Source organism: Homo sapiens, chromosome 13 (assembly GCF_000001405.40).
Source record: "Homo sapiens chromosome 13, GRCh38.p14 Primary Assembly".
In the NCBI taxonomy this organism is placed as follows: Eukaryota; Metazoa; Chordata; class Mammalia; order Primates; family Hominidae; genus Homo; species Homo sapiens.
The window spans coordinates 60000915-60026902 of NC_000013.11; the positions used below are offsets into that span (position 1 = coordinate 60000915).

At 36.5% G+C, this 25988-nt stretch overlaps 1 protein-coding gene and 1 long non-coding RNA gene across 24 annotated transcripts in view; one reads left to right on the forward strand and one right to left on the reverse strand.

Annotated features, from left to right (window-relative positions):
* The window catches only part of DIAPH3 (diaphanous related formin 3), a 498346-nt gene that overhangs the window by 335332 nt on the left and 137026 nt on the right, over positions 1-25988 (reverse strand). For 16 of the 19 annotated variants that reach the window (XR_002957478.1, XR_002957480.1, XR_941672.1 and 13 more), the window contains 4 exons: positions 15157-15231; positions 14999-15068; positions 9619-9755; positions 7630-7735 (listed from right to left, as the gene is read on the reverse strand). Coding sequence is in view for 14 of the 19 variants with exons in the window: in NM_001258368.2 (NP_001245297.1) it covers positions 7630-7735; positions 9619-9755; positions 14999-15068; positions 15157-15231 (388 nt within the window). In the remaining 5 variants the exon portion in view is untranslated. Of the gene's footprint in view, positions 1-7629; positions 7736-9618; positions 9756-12134; positions 12276-14998; positions 15069-15156; positions 15232-25988 lie in introns of those variants that run through there. The other 3 variants (XM_006719876.1, NM_030932.4, NM_001258370.2) reach the window with 1 other exon arrangement.
* Positions 11804-25988, forward strand: part of DIAPH3-AS1 (DIAPH3 antisense RNA 1) — a 31640-nt gene continuing 17455 nt past the window's right edge. Inside the window, exons 1-3 of one of the 5 annotated variants that reach the window (NR_109838.1) lie at positions 11804-11944; positions 20007-20094; positions 23827-23945. This is a non-coding gene — a long non-coding RNA (DIAPH3 antisense RNA 1). Of the gene's footprint in view, positions 11945-12388; positions 12458-20006; positions 20095-23826; positions 24239-25988 lie in introns of those variants that run through there. The other 4 variants (NR_109839.1, NR_046539.2, NR_051994.2 and 1 more) reach the window with 4 other exon arrangements.

Here is a 25988-nt window from a genome sequence, read left to right on the forward strand (position 1 = left end):
TAGGAACAACATTAGAAGAACCGGGCTAAAGGAAAAGTAGCCAAGGTGACACTAGGAGATTTGTGGTCTTCTGTCTGTTGCAAGACAATTCTCCCTGGGTCTCTCATATTTCATTTCCACTTGTATTGCAAGTAAAGACATTGATGGTCTTTGATCTAGATGCTCTTCAAGGATGTGTGTATACAAAACAATCTTGGAAAACAGCATATCTCTCCAGAGCAAAGAGCAGGCTCACTTCATGTCTAGTATAATAAAGATAATGTCTTTTAGAGCAAAGTGCAGGCAAGTTCAAAGTTCCTCTCCTACAGCACATCCTGCCATTTACCACCAGAAAGTTCTGACCATGATTTGATTACCATTACCTACACTTTACTAAGAGGTCAATCAGAATAGATCCAGCTCCTGCATCTCCCATGCAAAACATCTTCCCTTCTCTCTGGATGTCAACCCCATTCCAACTCCCATAACTGTAGCTCAGTCATTCTGTGGAGTGGGTGAATGGCACTGACAAAAAGGAATAAGTTGGACTGACTGTCTTCAGACAGTCCCTCCAAAAATTGTTAGACTTAATTATTTCCTGAACCAAGAACTGTAAAATTTATCAGCCACCTGGAAGCCAAGTTGAAAGCTCTGCCACCCTGTAGTCCCTTAACTAATAAAGTTCCTATTTGGGTAGTCCCAACAACTACAAACAACACTTTCCTTCCAGGAGCACCATGTACACCTTTCAAGACTATTTATCTTATGTGAAAGACAGGCATTAACTTGCCTCTCTCTTCAAAAACACCATGACTTGAACCCTACAGGTATGATCATAAGAAATGTTCAAGTGTTTAAAGAAATGCCACCAGTATGTCATGCAACTCTTAGGCAACTATGGAGTTCTCTCCAAATGGAAGCTATGCTTAGTTACTCTGGGGAGCTTCCTGGAGAAAAAAACTGACTTACTATGTGTACTCTGCAGGCAGTTATCCCTACAATGGGAAGTGGTAAAAAATCTGTGCCTGATTTCAGCTAAAGTGATCAGTGACACCACATCAGCCCTGGGAGGCAATCAGGTCAGCTTCAACTCACTGACCAGGATTGTTATGAAGAAAGAATTGTCCTAGACTTCTTTGCTGAACAAGGGGAAGTTTGCGCAATCACTAACACATCATACTGTATCTGAATTAACACCTCGGGCCAAGTGGAAAGATGAATCAAAAAATTTAAAAAGAAAGCCACCTGGTGTTCTAAGGTAGACTCTGATGATTTACTGGATTATGGGATTTGTTCAGCTGACTAGATCTGGGACCTGGAAGGCAGGACTGAGGCAAATACTTCAGACAGGACTCATTCTGCTGCCCACAGTCTCTCCTGAACTTAATTAAGTATGCTATGAAACAAACTGAACAGATTTCATCATAGCCTGTATCAATCAGATCAATTACAGTCATTGCTGCCCATAATATAAAAGTAATATTCCCTATGCTCAAGGTTTCTCTCCTAAAACACAACCCACTGCAACTGGCAGTATTCACATTACACTATGAGTGTCACAATATGGGCTTTGGGACTGACACAAAGCTGATACTCAGCCTACTGCTATTGCTGTGAGCAATAAAATCCTTTGTTTTTAACCTAGGAGTTCACGTCTTTTGACAGCACCAATAGAACTATGACAGACTAACATGTCAGTTTACAAGTGGCAGATCGTCTAAGACCATTCATGTTCCTGACCCTCCCATCAGCAACTTCATGGGTACTGGATCAGGGAGAAACCACAGGAAAAGGAAGTTACAGCATTCTATCACTGCAGACCTGAGGACATATACACAGAAGAAGAACCAAATATCCACCCAAAATGCTCTAGGATTCCCATGTTTTGGTTCCCTTCCAAAAATATATCACAATTCAATCAGTCGTATGACCAACAGCAAGGGTTTCAACAAACTCTTTGAAATCTAGAAAATGCTCTTGATACTCCAGGAAAGTATGACCCTGACAAGAGTAGACAGAAGACACAGAAAGGAAAAGAAAAAGAGGAGAGAAATAAAAATAACAGAAGATTAAAGGACGGCAGAAACTAGAGATTGGTTAACCAATACTTATCCCAGTCCTTTTCTACTAAGGAAAAACTGGCCAACATGAGGGACAAGCACACACATGAACAATGGACACTACGATGGAGGGTTTGGTTCTCCTGGGGCAACTGTGGCAGAAGGCTGTCTGTCCCTGGTGTCACAAGTGCTGACCACAGCAGAGAGTTGGGAGTGGCACTTCCATTAGAGCATTGCTGTGATACAGTGCAGCGTATCTTCTGTATTACTTCTAGCTACAGACCACCCACATGATTCCCTGGGCCTACCAGAAATTTTGTAAGGTAGGTACAAAATTTGTGAAGTAATTAATTGATATAGGCTATGATGAAATCTGTTCAATTTGTTTCATAGCATATTTAATTTTGTAATAACATTTTCTGCTTAAATTACCCAGAGTGATTATGTTGCTTGCAGCTGAGAAACCCTGTCTGATGTTTGAAAAAAAAGTAATGTATGCTTATTTTAAGTCCTAGATTTATATTTGTACTTTCTTTCCTGATAATATATATGTATGTGTGTATACATATATATATAGATATATCTATCTATCTATATATAGATAGATAGATAGATATAGATATATATATATTTTTTATGAGATGGAGTCTTGCTCTGTCAGCCAGGCTGGAGTGCAGTGGCGCGATCTCGGCTCACTGCAAGCACCGCCTCCTGGGTTCACGCCATTCTCCTGCCTCAGCCTCCCGAGTAGCTGGGACTATAGGCACCCACCAACACGCAAGGCAATTTTTTTTTTCTTTGTATTTTTAGTAGAGACGGGGTTTCACCAGGTTAGCCAGGATGGTCTCAATCTCCTGACCTTGTGATTCGTCTGTCTCGGCCTCCCAAAGTGCTGGGATTACAGACGTGGGCCACCACGCACGGCCCCTGATAATATTCTTCAAGGCCTGAGAATAAAGTTATTCCAAGTACAAAGTTTAACATTTTCTTACTATATAATATCAAATGGGGGAAGTGTGCACAATTCTATCATAATCATAAACAAATTATCATTATTAGGATCAGAATAACAAAAAAGTAACAATTCTCCTTATTCTCCTTTAAAAAAAATACTTTGTCATAAATATACTTTGCAGTAAAAGAATAATGAAGAATGTGTTTATTTTGCTATCTCATTTTCTCCAATTTAAAAGTAAACAATTGGTTCCTATTTTATTCACCAATAAACAAGTTTTATTTTTAATTGGCGATTTGCTAATGTCATCTAGTTTAGCACATTTTAATAATGCAATTTATTAAAATGGAATAAAATGGGTACAAATAGTTTTATAGGAAAATTGATAGCCAGCCACCTCAAAATTTACTTTATTTGTGGAAAATTCAGAAAGACAGAGAAATAGGTATTTTTAGATATTACTACAATTTTTAGAAAGAGCATAACCTGCAATATGCAGAAAAGAGTATCTATGTTACCTTTTTTTGTTTGTTTGGCCTAAGTTAGCACTATAGAAAATGGTATCTTTTACTCTGAAGCCTGCTACCTGCTAGCTATTTCACACATTAGGCTTAAAAACAATGAGAAACCTTTATTAAGGAGTAAAAGCCTTCAACAAAATATTTGAATAGAAAAAATAAGAATGTAAAACAATTCTTTCCATTTTCTATTCCCAATTAAGAGCATGGAAATTTAACCTGAACATATCAGAAAAATGAGAAAGAAATAAATTTGAATGATGCTAAAATAATCTTTCACTTCTTAAAAATTAAGCTCTAAGAACTATATCAAGAAATTTATTTTAGTGTTTACAGGATATCAAATAATTAACACTACTACTAACTGTAACAGAAAATATAATTACAACTAAAGCAATTAGTTTCATAAAAGCAAATATAATCAGCTACTTATATATTGGCAAAAATTTTTCAAAAATTGAATCATCACCTACTATGTCCCACAAAAATTAAAAATTAAAAAGAAACTGTATCATTCCCGTGACTTCCATAACTACGGAAGGAAAACATTGCTCTAAGCTCTCCTCCTCCCTACCTCTATTCACTCAACACTAAATATGGCAAATAAGCAGTAGTTTAAAAAGAAATCAACTCCACAAATGTTCACAGCAGCATTTTTCATAACAGCCAAAGAGTAGAAACAACCTGAATGTCTGTCGACTGACAGCTGATAAAATGTGGTACACTCATGACAGACGATTATGTGGCGATTTTTTAAAATGCAGTACTCCAACATGAACGAACCTCTAAAATATTTTGCTATTAATAAGTAAAAAAAGCCAATCACAAAGATCCACATAATGCATGATTACATTTACGTGAAATGTCTGGAATATGCAACTCTATAAAGACAGAAAGTAGATCAATAGTTGTCTCAGGCTAGAGAGAATCAAAGATTGTGGAGTTATAGCTAAGGGATGGGGACTTTCTTTTGGGTGGCAATGAAAATCTTCTAAAATTGACTGTGGTAAAGATTCCACAAAGCTGTTAATATACAAAAAATATTGAATCACACTTTTTTTCTTTTTTTTGAGACAGAGAGTCTTGCTCTGTTGCCCAGGCTGGAGTGCAGTGGCATGTTCTCAACTCACTGAAAGCTCCGCCTCCTGGGTTCACACCATTCTCCTGCCTCAGCTTCCCGAGTAGCTGGGACTACAGGCACCCACCACCATGCCCGGCTAATTTTTTTGTATTTTTAGTAGAGACGGGGTTTCACCATGTTAGCCAGGATGGTCTCGATCTCCTGACCTCATGATCTGCCCGCCTTGGCCTCCCAAAGTGCTAGGATTACAGGCATGAGCCACCACAACCTGACCTGAAACGCACATTTTAAATGGGTAAATTTTATGATACGTTAATTTAGTCTGACTAGAGCTGTTAATAAAAGAAATTAAACCTGTATCAAAACTTTATATAAACAGAATTCTTAATATTTATTTAAGTCTTAATATCTTCTATAGAATAGTAACCTATAAAATCCCAAACTTTTAACTGATAGTTCTCTTTCTAGATATTTACTGACTAAATATAAGTTTATCATGACTATAGAAATGTTATTTTTCCACAGAAGAGCACCTTCAATAAAAGCAGAACTACCTATAAAAGAAATTACTTAATTTACCCCCTAAATTTTTTAAATCAACGTAGTTTGCCTTCAAGTTCATACTCATCAATTTAATTTGTAGTTAATTAAAATAAAGGTCAGATATATTTACCTTTATGTCTAACAGCCAAAACAAATATTCCAAATAACCAAGAATTAGACTGCAATAGTCGAAACTTTCCAATAAATGAGGAGATCATGTCATTTACCAGGACAAAACAGGGCTTTGTCTTTAACAAGCCATTATTTATCTCTTCCCTTACAGTTTAAAACCTCATGTAATGTAATACTGTTGTAAACAAAAGGATGGGACCCCAGTTTTACCAATATTTTCATAAAACTTTTACTCTCAAATAATTATAGATTCATAGATAGTTGCAAAAAAAAATCAGATAAAGTAATGGTTCAACTTTCCTCTACAAAGTTTTCTTTAGGGCTACTCTTCATTAATCTTCAGATGAATAAAAAGCCTGGGACCAGATGACAAAGAAACTTGTTCAAAGCACCAGATGACAGCAGATCAACCTGACAAGGAAAGACATAAAAAATAGAAAGGAAAAAGAAAAGCAATAGGAAGGAAAAGGAGAGCAGGGAAGGGGGAGCTCAGAGATGAGGTGGGAGAGAAGAGACAAGAAAGCAAGAGAAAAGAAAAGAGGAGGAGACTGGAAATGAGGCTAGCAGTACATGAATTAAAAGACTCTAGTCTCTCAAGCAACTAAATGGGCAAGGTCGATGTCACAGATGGGGAACACATCCCAGACCTCGAAGCCAATGTCATCTAACAAGCCCAGAATGCATGAAAAGGGGCTCTCTTACAGAGGTTCCTGCAGGACCCATGCCATAGAGACCCTCTGGTCAGATCTTCAATCCTGCCTATTCGAAGAGAACCAAATCACAACATAGGGTTCCTCACTGGCTATTCACTAACACTGTCATCTGAAATGTCATACTAAATTATTAGTTTCACAGCTCCTATCATATTCTCATTTTTTTTTTTTCTTGAGTCAGAGTCTCGCTCAGTCACCCAGGCTGGAGTGCAGTGGCACGATCTTGGCTCACTGCAACCACTGTCTCCGGGGTTCAAGTGATTCTCCTGTTTTAGCCTCCTGAGTAGCTGGGATTACAGGCACCTGCCATCATGCCCGGCTAATTTTTGTATTTTAGTAGAGATGGGGTTTCACCATGTTGGCCAGGCTGGTCTTGAACTCCTGACATCAGGTGATCTGCCTGCCTCAGCCTCCCAAAGTGCTAGGATTACAGGCATGAGCCACCGCGCCCAGCCTATTATTTTTAAAATACCATTTGTTTACTTTTAATTTTTCACTTTATTTTTTTATTTCAGATTTAGCTTTTCTATTCCTAATATACCAAGAAACAATAAAATGGCCAAGCACCCAGAACCTTTAAAAAAAAACTATAACTTTTTACTTTTATTAAGTGTGAAAGAGATTTACTTCATATCTATTAACACATTGGCTTTGAAACTTTGCTGCACGTTAGGATCACCTGAGGATCATTTTAAATTTCCCAATGTCCAGGTCACACCATGCCAATTAAGTTTTAGAAGTACGGAGGTGAGAATCAGGTATTAGTATTTTTTAAGATGACCACTTTTGAACAATTATACCAATAAAAGCCTCTTTTCCTTTTTTTAAAAAAAGAAAGAGAAATTAAATGAATATTATTCAGCTTGAATACTTAAATGTTTAAGTCTAAATGTGTCTTTTTAGCAGTATTTTTGGAAACATCTATAACCTTGGGTTTCCTTATTATTCACGTAAGCTCAACTTTTCAGTTATTAAAACAATGAAAAGCCCTAATCGACCTAATTGGCAAAACATCTCAAAAGTTAAAGTAATTTAAGAGACTAACATAGAATAAACAGTTCATAGAACTATGATAATATCTCATACAGGGAAATCTAATAATTCTACTACACGAAAAGCAACCTAGGAAATAACCATTGTTGTGTGCCAAGATGTATCTATAAGATAAATTATGACACAGTACAAATAGGAATTCTATATTCTAAAAATAATGCTAGGCCGGACGCAGTGGCTCATGCCTGTAATCCCAGCACTTTGGGAGGCCGACGCGGGTAGATCACGAGATCAGGAGATCGAGACCATCCTGGCTAACACAATGAAACCCCGTCTCTACTAAAAATACAAAAAAAAATTAGCTGGGCATGGTGGCAGGCGCCTGTAGTCCCAGCTACTCGGGAGGCTGAGGCAGAAGAATGGTGTGAACCCAGGAGGCAGAGCTTTCAGTGAGCTGAGAACGCGCCACTGCACTCCAGCCTGGGCGACAAAGCAAGACTCCGTCTCAAATAAATAAATAAATAAATAATGCTATAAAAGAATATTAAAAGGCATGCAGAGCTTCATAACAATGTTTTCATATAAACCAATCATAAAACCGTTAAAAGTAATATATGCCATTTAAAAACAGATTTTATATACACACAAAACTTACTTGCAGTTGAACTGAATTGTGCCGGAGGCCTTCCACAATACAAAAAAATCTGTCAATTTTTTTTTCTTCACCAGCTGAAGTTAAAGCTTCTAAAACTTCTTCAAGGCTATTGGAAAATTTGAGTCAATTAAATTGCAAGTAGCAAACACAAATGCCATAATACAATTGCTTTATCCTACTAAAGAAGTCAATACCCTAAGCAGCCAATATATTTTAGAAGTAGATTACTGAGTACATACCATGTATCAAGCACAGTTCTAAGCATGTTACATTTTAATCATTTATCCCTGACAATAACCCTGTGAAGATGTTTATCAAGCATTTATATAATGCTTACTACACATCAGGCACCATTTAAGCCACTTTACAAACATCAACTCATTTTAAAGTATATAACAATTGTTTGAGGTAGGTACTATAATTAACCCGTATTATAGATTAGGAGACTAAGGCAGAAAAAGGTTAAGCAATCTGTCCAAGGTCTCATATCTGTGAAATGGTGGAGCAAGAATCTGAAACCAGACAGTTTATGTGGTGGGCACCATATAAATGCTCTCAACCACTGCACTCTTATGCCTCACAAGTTTAAGTAAATGAAGCTGAGTGATAGTCGAAAATATATAATAGTATGGTATTATAAATATTCAAATATAAAATATAATAATTATGCAAAAACTATACTTCCTCTTCTTTTAAGTAATAGTTAACAGCATCCAGCACACTGGAGAAGCTCACAGTTCGTGGACATGGGCATGCAGTCCTAAATGTTACTTACAGGATCTTGATACCCATTCTGAAGTCAAGAAACAAGGAAAAGGGAAGGATAACAGAATAGGGAAGGGAAAAGAAAAGCAAGGAAGAGTCCAAGAGGAAAGAGGAGGAAGAAAAGGGAAAAAGAGGAGGTTAAAAGACAGAATTAAAAAATGATGGGGGAAAGGGGAAAGGAAGAAAGTGGGAAGGGAAGCTCAGAAAGTATCATATGTCCACATAAATTTCACTCTTAGATTTGTACACCAACATTTATATGGCCTTAAATACTGAAGCTGTATGCCTGGCTTTGCACGCTTGGGACTGCTGCTGGGTGTGGCAACACCTCTTCTATAGATAAACACTGTAGGCACACTTTGCGGGCAGACTGCCAGGCTGAGGCCGAGTGGTGTCTTTGACTATCCAACCATCAAGCCGAACCTGCTCAATCCCACCAACTCCAGCAGGACCTCCACAAGGCTGATTTTCAAACGAACACAGGAGGCTCCCCTTACAGGACTCTGCCAACCCCTACATATGGGGGATATTTCTGTTAGTTCTTTTGCCTGTTTAGTTTTTACATTTTTATCTTTTTTAAAAGGCATTTTAAATAATTTTTAAATGCTTCCTGATAATTAGAACCCTAATTTTTAAAAATCTTTATCTTTATAATTATCTTTAATATGTATGTAATGGTATTTAATTATACTCCTAACAAATGTGGTTAAGTTCTTTACAGCTCTAGTGTGTGCTTTATGCTCAAGGACTTTGTACCCTCAACCAGTAAACTACTATTACATAAATCACTTTCTAATCTGCCTTATATATAGATTTCCAAATCGTAATATGTTTGCTTTTACAAGGGGATAGAGAAGACCTACAGTTTGAAATAATTCTATGTGGGGAAAAAAAATCACATAAGAAATAGAACCATTTGTATATTTTCAAAGCCTCCATTTAGAATTTTTTTTAATTTAGGGTTTCAGTTAAAAAAACAGTTTAAATATGATAAGGAAATCAGTTTTTCATAGAAGTATGTTAGACCATAACTAATAAATCAATTAAGAGAAATAATTACTCAAAAATTTCCAGCCAATAAGAAACTATATTAGCTGCTTAAATATACCTCAACATTTATTTAAATTCTAGTAAATTCTAGCCTAGAGTAGATAATGAAACATTAAATGAATCAATCTGTATTAAATTATTATATAATTAGGGGAATATGTTGATAACACTTACATGCTTTCTTCCCCTACAATGCATACCGCAGAGAGAAGTTTAACCACATCTGTCATCATATTGGGGTGTCTGGGATCCACGGCTTTGGCCAATAAGGAAAGGCTCCTCTCCTCACTCATAATTCTTTCCAAGCCATACTATAATATTTTGAAAATAAGAGGTCAAATGTTAGAAATTAGTTAGAAAAATAATACCCTGAAGGAAATGTAGTTATTAAAAAAAATTTATAGGACATTTTTACACTTACTAAAGCTAAAAAATATAGACTGTGTAACACTCTAAAAAGTTCATGGCTGGGCACGGTGGTTCACGCCTGTAATCCCAGAACTTTGGGAGGCAGAGGCGGGCAGATTACCTGAGGTCGGGAGTTTGAGACCAGCCTGAGCAACATGGAGAAACCCCCTCTCTACTAAAAATACAAAATTAGCCAGGCATGGTGGTGCATGCCTGTAATCTCAGCTACTCGGTAGGCTGAGGCAGGAGAATCACTTGGACCCGAGAGGTGGACATTGCAGTAAGCCAAGATCACGCCATTGCACTCCAGCCTGGGCAACAAGAGCAAAACTCCGTCTCAAAAAAAAAATAAAATAAAAAGTTCATAAGGGTATTCACTTTATGTCAAGAACCACAAAACTAAACCAAATAAAGATAACTCAAGGTGATCTTACAACAATACAGCTGACAATTATTAAGACAGGTTAAGTAGCCAAATTGAGAAAGTGGGAAGCAGTCAGAAACATGGGATTTGCCAACAGAAGCATATGAAACAAACAGCCAGATACGGAACCAGACACTGAGGCCATGAAAATCTTTTTCCTGGGAAGGAAGGTTGGTAAGAGATATATTATCATAAGCAAACACACAGATCAACACTGTCCAAGAGAAATATAATGTAAACCACATGAGTAATTTAAAAATTTCAAGCAAGCAAAACTATTTTCAATAAAATTAATCCAATATACCCCAAATATTACCATTTCAACATATAACCAATATAAAACATTTATTGATGACATTTCACTTCTTTTTCTTCCTAAATAGTTGAAATCCAGTGTGTATTTTATACTGTAGCACATCTCAATTCAGACTAGCCACACTTCAAATGCTCAGAAGCCACATGTAGCTACCATATTACAAAATACAGGCCTAGATATTAGCACTTAGTTCATAAATAAGCAAAAACTGAAGGATGATTTGAGCAGATACCATGTAGAAACTGCCACAATGGGCACAGGTATTCTAATCACAATGGTATTTATTATAAGGAAAACAATGCAGTTGTAAACTCATTCTATAAATGAGACGATTGGGATTAGGATAAAGTTTATTTACTACTGCCAGGAAGTCAAATCCAATTAGAAGATAAGTTATGTTAATGATGTATCTATGAAAGATAACTGTCAAAATACAGAAGATGAATAGAAACAATAAAACAGTACTATTTATCTAGCATGCATCTCAGAGGATCCTACTAAAGCATGAGAACTGACTAATCAGAGTTACTACCAAACACTAAAAAAGGGCCTTATTCCCAATTACAAGCCTATGAACTAAACTCAAAATCAGCACTACATGTAAGCATTGAAGTTGAATCTATAACCAGCTTAGACCCAAGTACTTTGATTGTGATAAAATCCTATTTATAACTTTCCTATCTTGTATATGGCCATTTATGCAAAGAAACCTTGTACTGGGCTGAAATACTCCATTTACTTTAAACCACTATCTGAGAAACACAGGAACAATGGAGAAAGTATGAGGAAAGGCCAAGGGCCCAAGAATATGAATTTTGGAGAGATTACTCTGTCTTGTTAGTAATAGGGAAAAGTTTACAACAAGACAGCTAAACAGTCAGGAAATACTTACTTTTATGATAGCCTGGGCTATTACCTAACTGGAAAAAGAATGAAAAGGCAGGCACAGGACCAGAAACTACAATATGCCTTGCTAATCATTCCAGGGAATTGTCAGGTTTATAAAGTACCACTTAGATTCAATTCAGAAAGTCAGTCAATGATTACCAAGTACACAAGAGCTGGCTCTGTCCTAATAAATCTGGGAATTGAGTAAAGCTTGCCTCTAGCATTTCCCCTTCTTTTCCCACCTACCTGGTTGTCCTTAGCTAACACCTGCCCTTCTAGAATCAGAATCCTGTGACTCCTCCAGCCACCCAAGGTGACTCATGCTGACTTCCTCCAAGTGATACTACCTGCCTTCTCTGCCAAACCCTCTGGCCCTAACCTATCATGTATGAAAGGTGAAATAGGAGCATACTCTGATTTCACAGTTTTAACCATCATCCTGTGACCCCAAAAGTCCATCACAGGTAACGTTCTCTGATTTTGGTAATGCAAAAATGTGTCACACTCATTTTAAGACTGGAATGAGGCCAATTACTACTACTCAGTATCTATAAATACAGAATTGCTACTTGTATAAATTACTCTCAATTATTTAAAAAACATAGCAAAACAAAACAAAAACTGTTGACTCTGTGTGAGAAGTTGTCAACTTACCAGTGCTCGGATTAAAGTGCATTTAATGAGGGCTGTTTTAGGTTAGAGAGGCATGACAAATTTTGAAAGGTCTAAGGATGTATCTTTCCTGAATGTCAAGGACCCACTCCGGACAATATGGTAACTGGCCTGTTCTAAACTGAGGATCAATGCCAGGTTCCGCCTGCATTCCACATGAGGCCTATTATTAGCTAATAGATGGAATTTCAGGCACTGAAGATGATGTTTTAGGTAGAGGAAAGTTAATGCTCTAAATCCTCGTGTAGGACGCCCAACATCTGGACGCACACAGCATGACTACTAGTGCTGAGCAGCCACCCACAGTGAGTTAATCCCAGTAGCAGAAATAATGTGGTTAAAGTTGCTGGCTTCAGAAGCAAAGCACCCGCACCTTGGGTGCACTCTTCAAAGCAACACACACAGTTAACTGACCAAACTGAAGTCTCTGTTCTAATTACCTTTCAATTTGAATATACTAACTTTTCATCCTTATTATCTTTTCTTTCCCCTACGCAATTAAAATTCTCTTCCATTTAAAAAATACTCTTAGTCCAATTTAATGTTATAAGAAATTCACTTTCATGTAATGTTATCAAATTTGCCCATTAATTGTATAATTAATTACTAGTACCAAATAAGGTACCACATTTTTTTCCTCTTAAAACTTATATTTTCACCATTCAATGAATGCTAATAAAGACTGTATAAGTGAGGTTTAACAAATTTTGTACTTATAGATGTGATCAAATAAAGATTAAGACAACCATTAACCAATCTTGAAGGGAAAAAAAACTTCACCAAAAATTTCACATATTGCTAGGTTTAGAGTTCAGACACTATAATACTAAGTAACAATAACTTAAATTAACTTTTTATTCTTAATAACACAGATAAAAGCACCAAATAAAATGGCAATATTTTATAGCTCCATGTATATAAACTACAAGCAACAAAAATCTCTTAAGAGAAAAATAGTATATTAATTAGAAAATAAAGTTCAATCTTCCTCAGATTCATTATGAAACAAAGTAAGAATATTATCTTCTATTTACCACCTTAATTTAACCATGATATTCTTCTTAAATTCAAATTATGATCCAAATGTCCCTTTGGTTTAAAAAAAGTTCCTAGATTTTTTCTACTTTTGGCTTTTCCATCACCAATGAAATTTCCAATTTCTATATTCTCACTTTAAAAAGGGCTTCCTAAACCAGTTCTATGTACTTAGTGGGCAAAGACCTCTCCCTATCAGCAATTTGATTCTTTCATTCATTTACTCTTAAAACAGATATGTAAAAAGCTACCTTATATATCTAATATCTGATTTTCAAAGAACCGTGAATTCAGCATAGAAAGGAGTTGTGATTCCTACATCACATATTTTCTTTGAAAATAATATCTGTTTAGAGGAGGCAAGGAAGAAAAAATATTTCATTGGTTAAAAATAGAAAGCTTAGCTCCAGAAAATGCTTAAAAATACACAGTTTAACAAGACAAAAATAATTAGAAAATATAAATATTTGCTAATACATGTAGTAAAATAAATATAAAATAAATCAATAATTTACGTACTAGTACTTAAGTGTGTAGCCCTATAAAAGTTTGTTTTTAAATTAGAATAAGGCAAAATATTATAATTAAAATTAATCAGAAATATACAGATGCTTTTGCTATAAAACAAAAATAATCGTACCACCACAGGTAAAATTTCCCCCCCTGCTGTCTAACAGCAACTTAAACACCTATCATCACTTCACACATCATGAGGTAAATGTGTTTAGATGCTGGAGCTTAAAGAAACAGCATAGGATAATGCTAATTTCTACAGTTAACAGTATAAAAGCAAAAAAGAAACATTGCTAGATAAACCTAAAATCTAACTTCAGTAAAGAGCTTAAGAATTCCTCTTTTTTTCTAGTTTTTTTGTTTTGTTTTGTTTTGTTTTGTTTTGTTTTGTTTTGTTTAAGGACAGGGATTCACTTTGTCTCCCAGGCTGGAGTGCAGTGATTCGATCACAGTTCACTATAACCTCAAACTCCTGGGCTCAAGCCACCCTTTCATCTCAGCCTCCTGAGTAGCTGGGACTGCAGGCATGTGCCGCCATGCCCAGCTATTTGTTTTACTTTTTGTAGAGATGGCGTCTCACTATGTTGCCCAGGCTGGTCTCAAACTCCTAGCCTCAAGCAATCCCTCCTGCCTCGGCATCCCAAAGCGGTAAGATTATAGGTGAGAGCCACAAGCAGGTTTCTCCCTTCTAATGTAACCTCTTTAACTATGCAAATTCCTCCATATTACGTTTATTCTCAATATTACTTGGGTTAAGCCTCATTGCTCTATTTCTGAGACCTGCTTATATCTGTTTACATTAATTTCATTGTAGATTTTAAATTCCTAGAATATAAGAAATCTTCCTAACTTGAACCTTTGGTAATAAGTATTATTGCAGCTCACATTTAATAATCATGATCTTAAAGCTGACTCACGCCGTACTTTTGAGAGTTAGGAGAGGGAGGAAATGAAGGAAGGAAGAAAAGAGGAAGAGTAGGACAAAAAAGCAGAGAAAGGGTGGTGGGTGGAGAGAAAAAAAGAAAGAAGATGGGGTTGGGGTGGGCAGGGTTGAGAGGGAGGAAAGGGTGGGGAGAGATAATTAACCTATACATGAGGAGTTCAGCACCAGAAGAGGTTTATTCATTATCAAGTTTCTCCTATTGCAAGACAGTTGAAACTAGAATTCAATAAAATTCAATATTTTTCCATCATGTACTAAAAAACACATCAGAACAATTTACCATCACTTTACTGCAACTGAAAATCATATATTACAAAATTGGTGACGGACAAATACTAATTACGTATGTACATACCTGCGTATTCATCAGGGCTTTTAGACACTGTATGACTTTATGTTGATTTTTCTTTACAACTTTTTCTTGGCTGTATTGACATAAAAAATAGCAGTGTTGGAATTATAATTGGACATATGAATGATGCTTACTTGAAAATAATTATTAGCAATACTTACATTTTTCCACTAATCAGTTTTTCCAAAATGTCTAATAATAATCCAAGCCCTTCATGTCCAAAGCTTTCCACCCAACTGAAAAACAGAAAAAAGACAGTTACACATTGTCAGTAACGCAGCTTGTGTTATCATATTATATACCTACAAGTATTTTATATTTGCTATATTCCTAATCGTAACTAAAACATAAGAATAACACCATATATAAAAATTATTCATGACTCATCTTAGTTGTGAAAGAAGCAAAGATGGATATGCCAATAGTGTGCTAAACTCCGCTTGCACAGGCTTGTAAGAGCAGACTGTGCCCATCTCTTCCATGGTTCATGTTTAGGGACATCACGTGGGTAGCTTGAAATCAGCCACAGTGAAAGTATTCACACCAAAGAAACTGGCAAACCAATCAGAGCCTCCCCCACCCACGCACCCAGAGCTGGCTCTAAACATTTACCAGCATACCACTAATTACAGCCCATTTGGGGCTATGCCAAAGAAGACAAATTGTACAAGTGAGTAAAGATCTATGGAGGAAAGATGTAGATCAACATAAAGAAAAAGATTACTGGCAAAAATTAATTAAAAAAAAGAGATGCTTTAGCAGAATTCCCCAAACCACTGAAATACATTCCTACAAATGTTAAGAATTTCCTAAGTTTCAAAGTTCAGTTGCTTTAAAAACAAACAAACAAACAAACAAACTGCATCACTGGGTTTTAAATGAGTTATCTCCATGTTCACCAAACCAAACCTGTCCCATAAACCCACTGACCCAATCACAGGCCTTTACATAACTAGAACATTACTGTCACTAGACAACAGCTTGCCTGGATTACATGAAAACTACCTCGCTAGAAATGAATACCTTTTCTCAGTGGAGATTAGTAAACCTAGGCCAATAAATAATAACAATGATAATAATCTGTCACCAAAAGAATGAAGGAAAGAAAAGATATATGTGTGTATATTTATTTGTATGCCTGTACTTATATATGTGATTTTATATATGTGTATGTGTACTGTTTGAACAGTAAGATGTTAAAAACAAAATTTCGGCCAGGCGTGGTGGCTCCTGCCTGTAATCCCAGCACTTTGGGAGGCAGAGGCGGGTAGATCACCTGAGGTCAGGAGTTCGAGACCAGCCTGACCAACATGGTGAAACCCCATCTCTACTAAAAATACGAAATTAGCCAGGGGTGGTGGTGCATGCCTATAATCCCAGCTACTCGGAGAGGCTAAGGCAGGAGAATCACTTCAACCCAGGAGGCAGAGGTTGCAGTGAGCCGAGATCGCGCCATCGTACTCCAGCCTGGGCAACAAGAGCAAAACTCCATCACAAAAAAAAAAAAAAATTCAAGGAATGAAAAACAGAACACTATAAAGAATAAAAACAAGCTTAAGTCATATATCAGAAAATACCAAAATATCATTTTTTCTTAAGATACAACATTTCCAGTGAAAAGAGAATAAAAACCAAATGCAACATATTTATATAAAAAATACAAATATTGAGTAAAATCCAGCTTCTTCATTTGCATATTTCTGTAAATACAACTTGACACCTATCAATGTTGAGGATTTCTGATTTTACAAAAAAGAAAAAGAAATTTGCCATTTAGACTGGCAATCTCTTGTCAGACAATATTTTACTCATCTCTTGCCAGTGAAAGCCATGAAATAACTAATTTTTAAAATGCACTTAAACAGGAAAGATACTCTCTTGTAAAAGACTGAAGATTGCTATTATAGTTAAGGTAAGGAAAAAAGTTAAACAGAGGTTGTTTTCAAACCAGGCTGCTACTTCAAAAGTGAAGGGTTTACTCTTCACTATCAGCGACACACAGATTATCTGTAGGCATTTTGAATCTTGTTTTTATGTTTCATGAAAACAACTACAGCATCTCACTTAACTGTTTGCCTTGTTGACATCCTATTCTGAATTTATTCCTATTTCACATGCAGCAGGGAAGTGAGGAGAAATCTGAGAGTTTTACTTGGGCTGACATTGAGATGCATGGAGAGAGACTGTTCATAAGGCACTCCTCTTTAATACTTCACAGAGGGCCTTCAATATTTTGTTTGAAGTAAGTTTTCAACAATATCCATATTCAAAAGTATAGCCACAAAGATATTCTAAAGCCAATATAAATGGTTTCAGATTATTCATACTGCTATCACCTTTAATCATTGTGAAGAATAAAATCACTGTTCATCAAACTGCCTCACACCAAAATAGGCAAAGTAATTTTAAATTATGTTAATATAACAAAAAGACTTTGTTACACTTAATATGCTTATATTATGACCCACTATAAAATTTAAGAAACACAAATCCATGTAAATCAGTAAGTTCTCTGATCTACATAATTAATAATAAAAAATAGCTATTTAAAATGTATTACCTTTAACATAATTATAACTAGAATAGTGTGACTCATAGATGGTCTAAAGTCAACTATTTCTAGACCCACTATATAACTCTCTTCTAAACTACAGAATATGAACTATTCAAATAGAATTTATGCCTACTCATGTATTTTATATATAAACTAATTCTCTATAAAACAAAACTTATTAAAGTTCCGTGTAAAGAGGCATTAAACCAAATCACTTCATCTATTACAATCTTTTAAGTCACTGTGGGAATTTCTCAACAACAATAAAATGAGAGTTGGGCAATGGCCTTCTGAAAACCAGATTATACATTATATCTCATAAAACATGTCAAAAACAAGAAAAGTGGGACAGGGTACAGGGAAAGAAAACTGAGACACCTGACAACCAAAGAAACAATATAAGAATTAAAAGAAAGCTAACAAAAGTACTTACTAAAAAGATTAAAAATTAAATATGCATAAAACATCTCCCTGTTTTCTTAAAAATTTGCAAACTCAACATACTGTTGTATTAACAGGTGTCACTCACAAAGCAATAATCTCAAGTGTTTCACCCTCACCCCTACTATTTTCAGCAATATTATTTTTAAAGATAGGGGTATGAATATCACTTCCTATTTCCACTGGAAAAGATGTTCAAGATAAAAAGTGATATTGAGTAGGCAGGTCTGTAGTCTTGACAGAGGTTTATTGAGATCCATAGCTTTCTACAAAAATGAAAAAATTTCTCATCATCAGTGTAAGAAGCAACCTAGAAAAAAATTATCAACTGATCTATAAATGATTAATTTCCACGAACTAAAATCTGCACTATTTGTTCTATGCCTGTCAGCACAGTACCATCAGGCATTATGTGGTTTAACTATAAACTGCATTCATGGATAAATATGCACGTTTCTTCTTCATGAATAGAAATGACATAGAGATCAGTATGACATTTGTATCAGAAAAAAACTGCTTTAAAACAGCAACCGTAGTGTGCTAAATACTAAATCTACCTCTTAAAATTCTGTAACAGGAAATATTAAACTCTTCTAATTGCTTCAAGGAAAACTTCTAAGTATATTACCCTTCAGCATTTCCTAGTAGGGGTCTCAATATAGGAGAAAAGAAGAGATGAAGAGGTAATAAAACTTAATAAAAATTAAAAAAAAAAAAAACAGAGGGAGAGGGAGAACAGGTTCCCAGAATTACAATGTTTAACCCGCCTTTAAATGTTCAAAAGCAGCTTAGACTTTGAAATTCAGTTACTACTTCCAGAAACACAGGATGAAACTGAAAGTGTGTAAAGTGGTTTCTGACATGTTGTTGGCTTTAATACAGAAGTAAATACAGTCAGTCACCTCATTGAGCAATAGAGGCAACAATCAGGTCTCAGATTTACCTCCTGGCCAAAAGGAACAAAGCGCTCTCAAGTATTTTTCCCAAAGACTGATCTCCTACTCTTCCTTTGTTTTGTTTAAAGTTATTACCTTTCTTCCCAGATGTGCTCGTAGAAAGGGAAAGACAAATGCATCATGAATTATAATGGAATTAATCTTGGAATTATTACCCTTATGATCTGGAATAAACATACCAGATCATAAGAGCAATCTTACCTGATGCATACTCCTTGAGTATAGGGACCGTTTCTTATATATCATATTTATTCCAGCATGGGATAGACTGAGCACTCAATAAATCATTTTAGAATGAAACTAAGTCCCCTTCTATTGTTACATATAAGAGGTTATAGTCACTTAGAAATAATATTTAGGTCTGCTGATAACCAGGCTTGTGGCCTTTATATATGCAGAAATAAACACAAAGAGATGACAGATCTCCACACCATTACTGAACCTGTCTCAACCTTCAAGCTAGAAACTTCAATTGCAATTTCAGAACTGTTATTTGCCCATACTGAATCAAAGATAATAAAACCAAAGACAGGGTCTTACTCTGTCGCCCAGGCTGGAGTACAGTGACACAATCATGTCTCACTGCCACCTCAACCTCTTGGGCTCAAGCAATCCTCCTGCCTCAGCCTTCCTAGTAACTGGGACTACAAGCATGTGTCACCACATTCAGCTAATTTTAACTTTTGTAGAGATCGGGTCTCACTACGTTGCCCAGGCCAGTCCAAACTCCTGGCCTCAAGCAAATCCTCTCACCTTAGCTTCCAAAAGTGCTGGGATTACAGGTGTAAGCCACTATGCCTGGCCAAGTCAGCCTTTATTAAAGGGCACACTGTATTCTTGATACTGCACTAGGTATGAGAAATACAAAACTGAATAAAATATGTTCTCTGCCCTTGAAAAGATCACAGACCAGTGGTTGAAACAAATGTCGAACAAAATTATTTCCATAATGCAATAAATGCTATACTCATGGTGCTCTGGGAACAGAAGGTACAATATCTACCTCTCTTGGGAACTTCAAAGCATCTGCTGTCTGACCTGAGTCTTTCTTTCTAAGCAGGAGGGCATATGCACAAAGACATTAAATGTAAAAGAAATGGCCTGTGCTGAGCAACAGAGAAAGCTGTATCAGAGATAAAACCAAACAGGTAAGAAAGGGCTTGATCTTGAAAAACCACATATGTAATGCCATGGGCAATGGGAGGGCATAAAAGGACTAAGCATGTGTAGTAAAGAGAGTAATCCTACCCTTGCCCACCAAAAGATCTGCACATCTTAAACTCAGAACATATGAATATATTACCTCATGTAGCAAAGGAGAAATTCAGATTGCAGATGGAATTAAGGTTGCTAATCAGATGATTTTAAGATAGGAAAATTACCCTAGTTTATCCAGGTGGTTCCAATCTAATCATGTAATTCTTAATTTCCCAGCTTGGTTAGAGAGATGAGATGAAAGAAAGAGAGTCAAAGCATAAAAAGGGATGGGCACCCTGGCTCACGCCTGTAATCCCAACACTTTGGGAGGCTGAGGTGGGTGGATCACTTGAGGCCAGGAGTTTGAGATCAGCCTGGCCAACACGGAGAAACCCCGTTTCTACTAAAAATACAAAAATAGCCGGGTGTGGTGGTGAGTGCCTGTAATCCCAGCTACTTGGGAGGCTGAGGCAGGAGAATCCCTTGAACCCAGGAGGCAGAGAATGCAGTGAGCCAAGATGGTGCCTGGGCTCCATCTTGCCCAGACAACAAGTGCAAGATGGTTGCCCACTGCACTCCAGCCTGGGCAACAGAGCAAGGCTCTGTCTCAAAAAAAAAAAAAAAAAAGAGCATAAAAGGGACTCATCTTGCCTTTACTGGTTTTGAAAATGAAGGAGGCCAAAGAAGAGCCAAAAAATGTAGGTGGACTGAAAAACCTGGGAATGGCCGTCAACTGAACAGCTAGAAAAGAAGTAAGAATCTTAATCCCACAACCACAAGAAATTGGGTTCTGCCAATAACCCAAATGGACAAGCAAATTGAGTTGAGTCTCTTATTCATAAACACTAGATGTCTCCATTTATTTGGATCTTCTTTAACTCCTTTCATCGTTATTTTGTAGTTTTCAGCATAAAAGTCCTATGGGTAATTCATTAGAATTACAATTATTTTTTGAGCAATTATGAATGGTATTGTGTTTTTAATTTCATTTTCTACAAGTACATTGCTAGTACATAGAAATACAATTTTATATTTTTATCTTGAATGCTGCAACCTTGCTGAACTCAGTGATAAGTTCTAGGAGTTTTTGATAGATTTCTTGAGATTCTCTATGTAAACAATCATGTCATCTGCAAATAGGGACAGTTTTATTTCTACCTTTCTGACCTGCATGCCTTTATTTCCTTTTCTTGCTTCAGTGTTCTACCTAGAACTTCCCTATGGTGTAAAACAAGCGTCCTGAAAGCAGGCATCCTTGCCTTGTTCTCAATCTATCTTAGAGGGAAAGCATTTAGTCTTTCATCAGTAAATAGAATATTAACTATAGGATTTTTGTAGATCTCTTTACCAAGTTAAGAAAGTTCCCCTCTGTATTAGTTTCCTGGGGCTGCAGGAAACTGAGGAGTTTAAAACCACAAATATATTATCTTGTAGTTCTGGAAGCAAGGTGTTCAAAATCAAAGTGTCAGCAGGGCTGCTGCCTGGGACTCTGGGTAGAATCCTTCACTGCCTGTTCCTAGCTTCTGATGGAAGCTGCCAATCCTTCCAGTCATCAGATGGGACTCTTCCTGTATCTCTGCCTTTTTCTTTTAAGGACACAAGTCATACTGGATCAAGACTTTACCCTACTCCTTTATGACCTCATCTTAATTAATTACACTGCAATGACTCTGTTTCCAAAAAGGGCCACATTCTGCAGAGTGTTAAGAATGTAAATACATCTTTCTAGGGACACAACTGAATTCACCCTCTATTCCTACTTTTCTGAGAGTTTTCATTATGAACAAGTGTTGAATTTTGTCAAATGCTATTTCTGCATTGATTCAAATGATCAAGTGACTTTTCCTCTTTTGCTTGTCAATATAATGCACTATATAAGGATTTTTGTATCTATACTCATGATGAACATTGGTTTGTAAGTTTGAGGGTTTTGGTTTTGTTTTGTTCTATCTTGGTACTGTATTGGTCTGGTTTTGCTATCAGGTAATTCAAGCCTCATTTTAAAAAAAAATTAATTGCTGTCTGCTCTGCTATTTTCTGGAACAGACTATGGAAAATTGGCATTAATTCTTCTTTAAGTTTGTGGTAAAATTCTCCAGTGAAATCACCTGCACCTGAAGATCTTTTGGTGGGGAGAAGGAACTTAATTATCTTAATAGTCAGAGGGCCATCCAAATTATCTATTTCATATTGGGTGTGTTGTAGTTTTTCAAAGAACTGATCTAGTTCATCTAAGTTGTTGAGTTGTATATTTAAAGTTGTTCAAAGTATTCCCTTATTATCCTGTTGATGTCTTGGTAATATATCTTGTTTAGTTCATGAAATTCGCAATTTGGGCACTGCTTTCAAGATGTTTTTATCTATCTTTGGTTTTCAGAACTTTTTTTTTTTTTTGAGACACAGTCTTACCCTGTCTCCCAAACTGGAGGGCAGTGGTGCAATCTCAGCTCACTGCAACCTCTGCCTCCTGGATTCAAGCAATTATCCTGCCTTAGCCTCCTGAGTAGCTGGGACTACAGGCACGCACCACCATGCCTGGCTAATTTTTGTATTTTTAGTAGAGACAGGGTTTCACCATTTTGGCCAGGCTAGTCTCGAAGTCCTGACCTCAAGACACCCAACCGCCTCAGCCTCCCAAAGTGCTGGGATTACAGGCGTGAGCCACCGTGCCCAGCCTAGTTCTCAGGAATTTGACTATGATATGTCTGTGTGTGAATTTCTTTGAGTTTATCCTGTTTGTGATTCAGTTTAGGTAGGTTTATGTCTTTTGCCAAATTTGGGGACTATTCAGCCTTTTTTTTTTTTTTTTTTTTTTTGAGACAGAGTCTCGCTCTGTCGCCCAGGCTGGAGTGCAATGGCACAATCTCAGCTCATTGCAACCTCCGCCTCCCGGGTTCACACCATTCTCCTGCCTCAGCCTCCCAAGTAGCTGGGACTACAGGCACGTGCCACCACGCCCAGCTAATTTTGTATTTTTAGTAGAGATGGGGTTTCACCATGTTGGCCAGGCTGGTCTCAAACTCCTGACTTCAGGTGGTCCAGCCGCCTCAGCCTCCCAAAGTGCTGGGATTACAGGCATGAGCCACCGTGCCCACCCTATTCAGCCATTATTTCTTCATGTACTTTTTTATCCTGTCCTCTTTCTCCTCTCAAGTCTCCAATGACAAGAATGTTAGATCTTTGGTTATAGACCCATAATTCCCTGAGACTCTGTATGTATTTTTTCCCAATCTATTTTTTCCTGGTGGTCCAGACTATATACTTTCTATCATTCTATAGTCCAGTTCACTAATTCTCTCCTTTCAGCCTCATGTTTCGCTTTTGAGGCCCTCCAGTAAGCTTTTTACTTCAGTTATTGTATTTTTCACTTCTAAGATTTACATTTGGTTCTTTAAAAGAAGAAATAGTTTCCTGTATTTCTTTGCTGAGACTTTCTATTTTTTTTCTTTTGTCAGCACATTCCTATTTGCCTATTGTAACACTTTTATGATGACTGCTTTTTAAAAGATTCTTGTCAGATAATTCTACCATCTCTGTCATATCAGTGTGTCATCTATTGTCTTTTTTCATTCAGTTTGTGATTTTCCTGCTTCTTGGTATGACCATATTTTTTATACTGAAGGCTGAAAATTTGGGATATCGTGTTATAAGATTCTAAATCTTATATAAACCTCTTATTTCAGTAAGCTTCCTATGACACAGCTCCAGTGGAAGAAGAGAAAGCACCACCTCATTACTGCAAGGTGGAAACAGAAGTCCAAGAGAGATTCTTTGTTACCACTTGACATGGATGGGAATCTAGGTACTCCCTGATGGAGAGAAGGAGGACTGCCTCATTATGCTCACCATGTAACCTACAATAGCACCATGGAAGGGGGATGTGGACGTCTGTTATCACTGGGTGGTTGTGAAAGCCCTGACTCTATTGGCTTCTTTGGACATAATGCCAGTGGGGAGGGGGAAGAATGCCTCATTAATGCCATCTGTGGGTAGAAATCCAGGCTACCCACTTTGCTTTTTGATAGTGTGGTGGGGGATGGGGCCACATATTTTTTTCTGCGATATTTAGCAGAAATACAAAGCAGTTATTGCCAACATTTTCTGTCTTGTTTGCTGCCATTTTTGTGGTCCTTTGGTTTCAGAGAGAAGGCTTTTGTTGGGACTTCTTTGTTCTGTGCCCACTGTCACTTCTGGGTTACTGACTTCTTCACCTCCAAATCTGACAAAAAGGCAGAAAGACAACCCAGCAAACTCACCGCCATATTGTTTCTTAAATCTCAAGGTTCCTAGCCTGTCTTCTTATATTTGTTTCACATATAATGTCCAGTATTTCTAGTTGTGCTTAGCAAAAAAAAAAAAAAAAAGGAAATAGTAGATTTAGTCTATCTTTCAAACACAAGTCTGAAACATCCACTGTTAGAGTGTGAGAACAGGCAGAAGCTCCCACCAAGAAAATGAGAAAAAGGCAGTGACAGTGGTAAGAGGAGAACCAAGTAAACCTGACATAACAAATCCAAAGGAAAGAAGAAGTTTCAAAAAGAGAAGAGTCAAGAGTCAAGTGCTAAAATGAGGTCAAAGAAAATAAGGGCTAAAAAGAACTATAAAGAAATGAATTCAACAACAATTTATAAATAATTCTGTAGAAGTGAAATCCTGATTGCAAAAGAATTAAAACAGAAAAGGGGTAGTAAGAACAAAGAAAAAAACATAATTTGGGATTAAAGAGTTGATGGAAGAAATTTGTAGGAGGACTGAGATGAGGACAATTTAAAAAAAAACTGTGTGCCATAAACACTATTACAAAAATAAACAGAGAATATTAGAGGAGCAATGAAGATGGCTACCACACTTAGCTAGGGCCTAGGAACAAAACCAAACTTAAAGAAAAAACTATGCCTACAATCTTGAAGTGGAATGATGCTCATATATCTTAAGTTTAAAAAGCAGAAATGGTATATAAGGCATTTTCTATTATTATTCTTAAATGTTTTTGTTCACATATAAGAAATGTATGTACATATGTGTAGCTATACAAACATTCTTAATCATCCTCCACCTAGTCAGCTAATTCAAGGCTTGAGTTCTACTCTCTTATACATCCCCACACACTGCTCCCACCAGAACCAGTTGGGTTTCTTTCCAAATCCATTCCTGACAGTTGTACCTACTATTGTATTTATATAATTAATATTATATAAACAGATAACACATAATTGGGGAAAGGGGTACTTTTTCTATGAAAACTAAGCGTAATGATTTGGAAAGCTAAAAATAGATTACTTTTTAAATTGCTGTAGAAGTAAATGTGGGCACAACTATATATTAAAGGGAAATCGTAGTACCAAAAAAAATTTTTTTAGCAGAAGAATACTTCTGCATTCAGATTGCTCTGCCAGAGCCTTTATGATCCTGTTCTTCTTTAAAGCACCAATATCAGGAAGACAACGCATTATGAGTATGCTTTATGCAATCAGCCTTTGCCCACTCCAAGAAAAGGTCTGGGCTCCATATGAAATGTCTACAGAAAAAAATGTTTATGCTTTAGATTGAAAAAAAAAATGTTTGGGGTATATTTGAATCATTTATTTGATTATTACATGCTTTAAGCAACTTTTTTAACCAACCAACCAACGGTATTAGACAGGAAGACTTCCTCTGTAGACAAAGTGTCTCTCTCTCTCTCTCCTCCAAGAAGTTAGTGTCTATTTAAGTAGATAATATTATACATTTTTCTTGATTTTGCTTTTGCATATTTTCTTATTGTCCTATAATGATCTTATCTTTTTTGTAATAAGAAAAATATTTTTAATTACCCAAAAGAATAATCTTACATGAATGCCTAGGG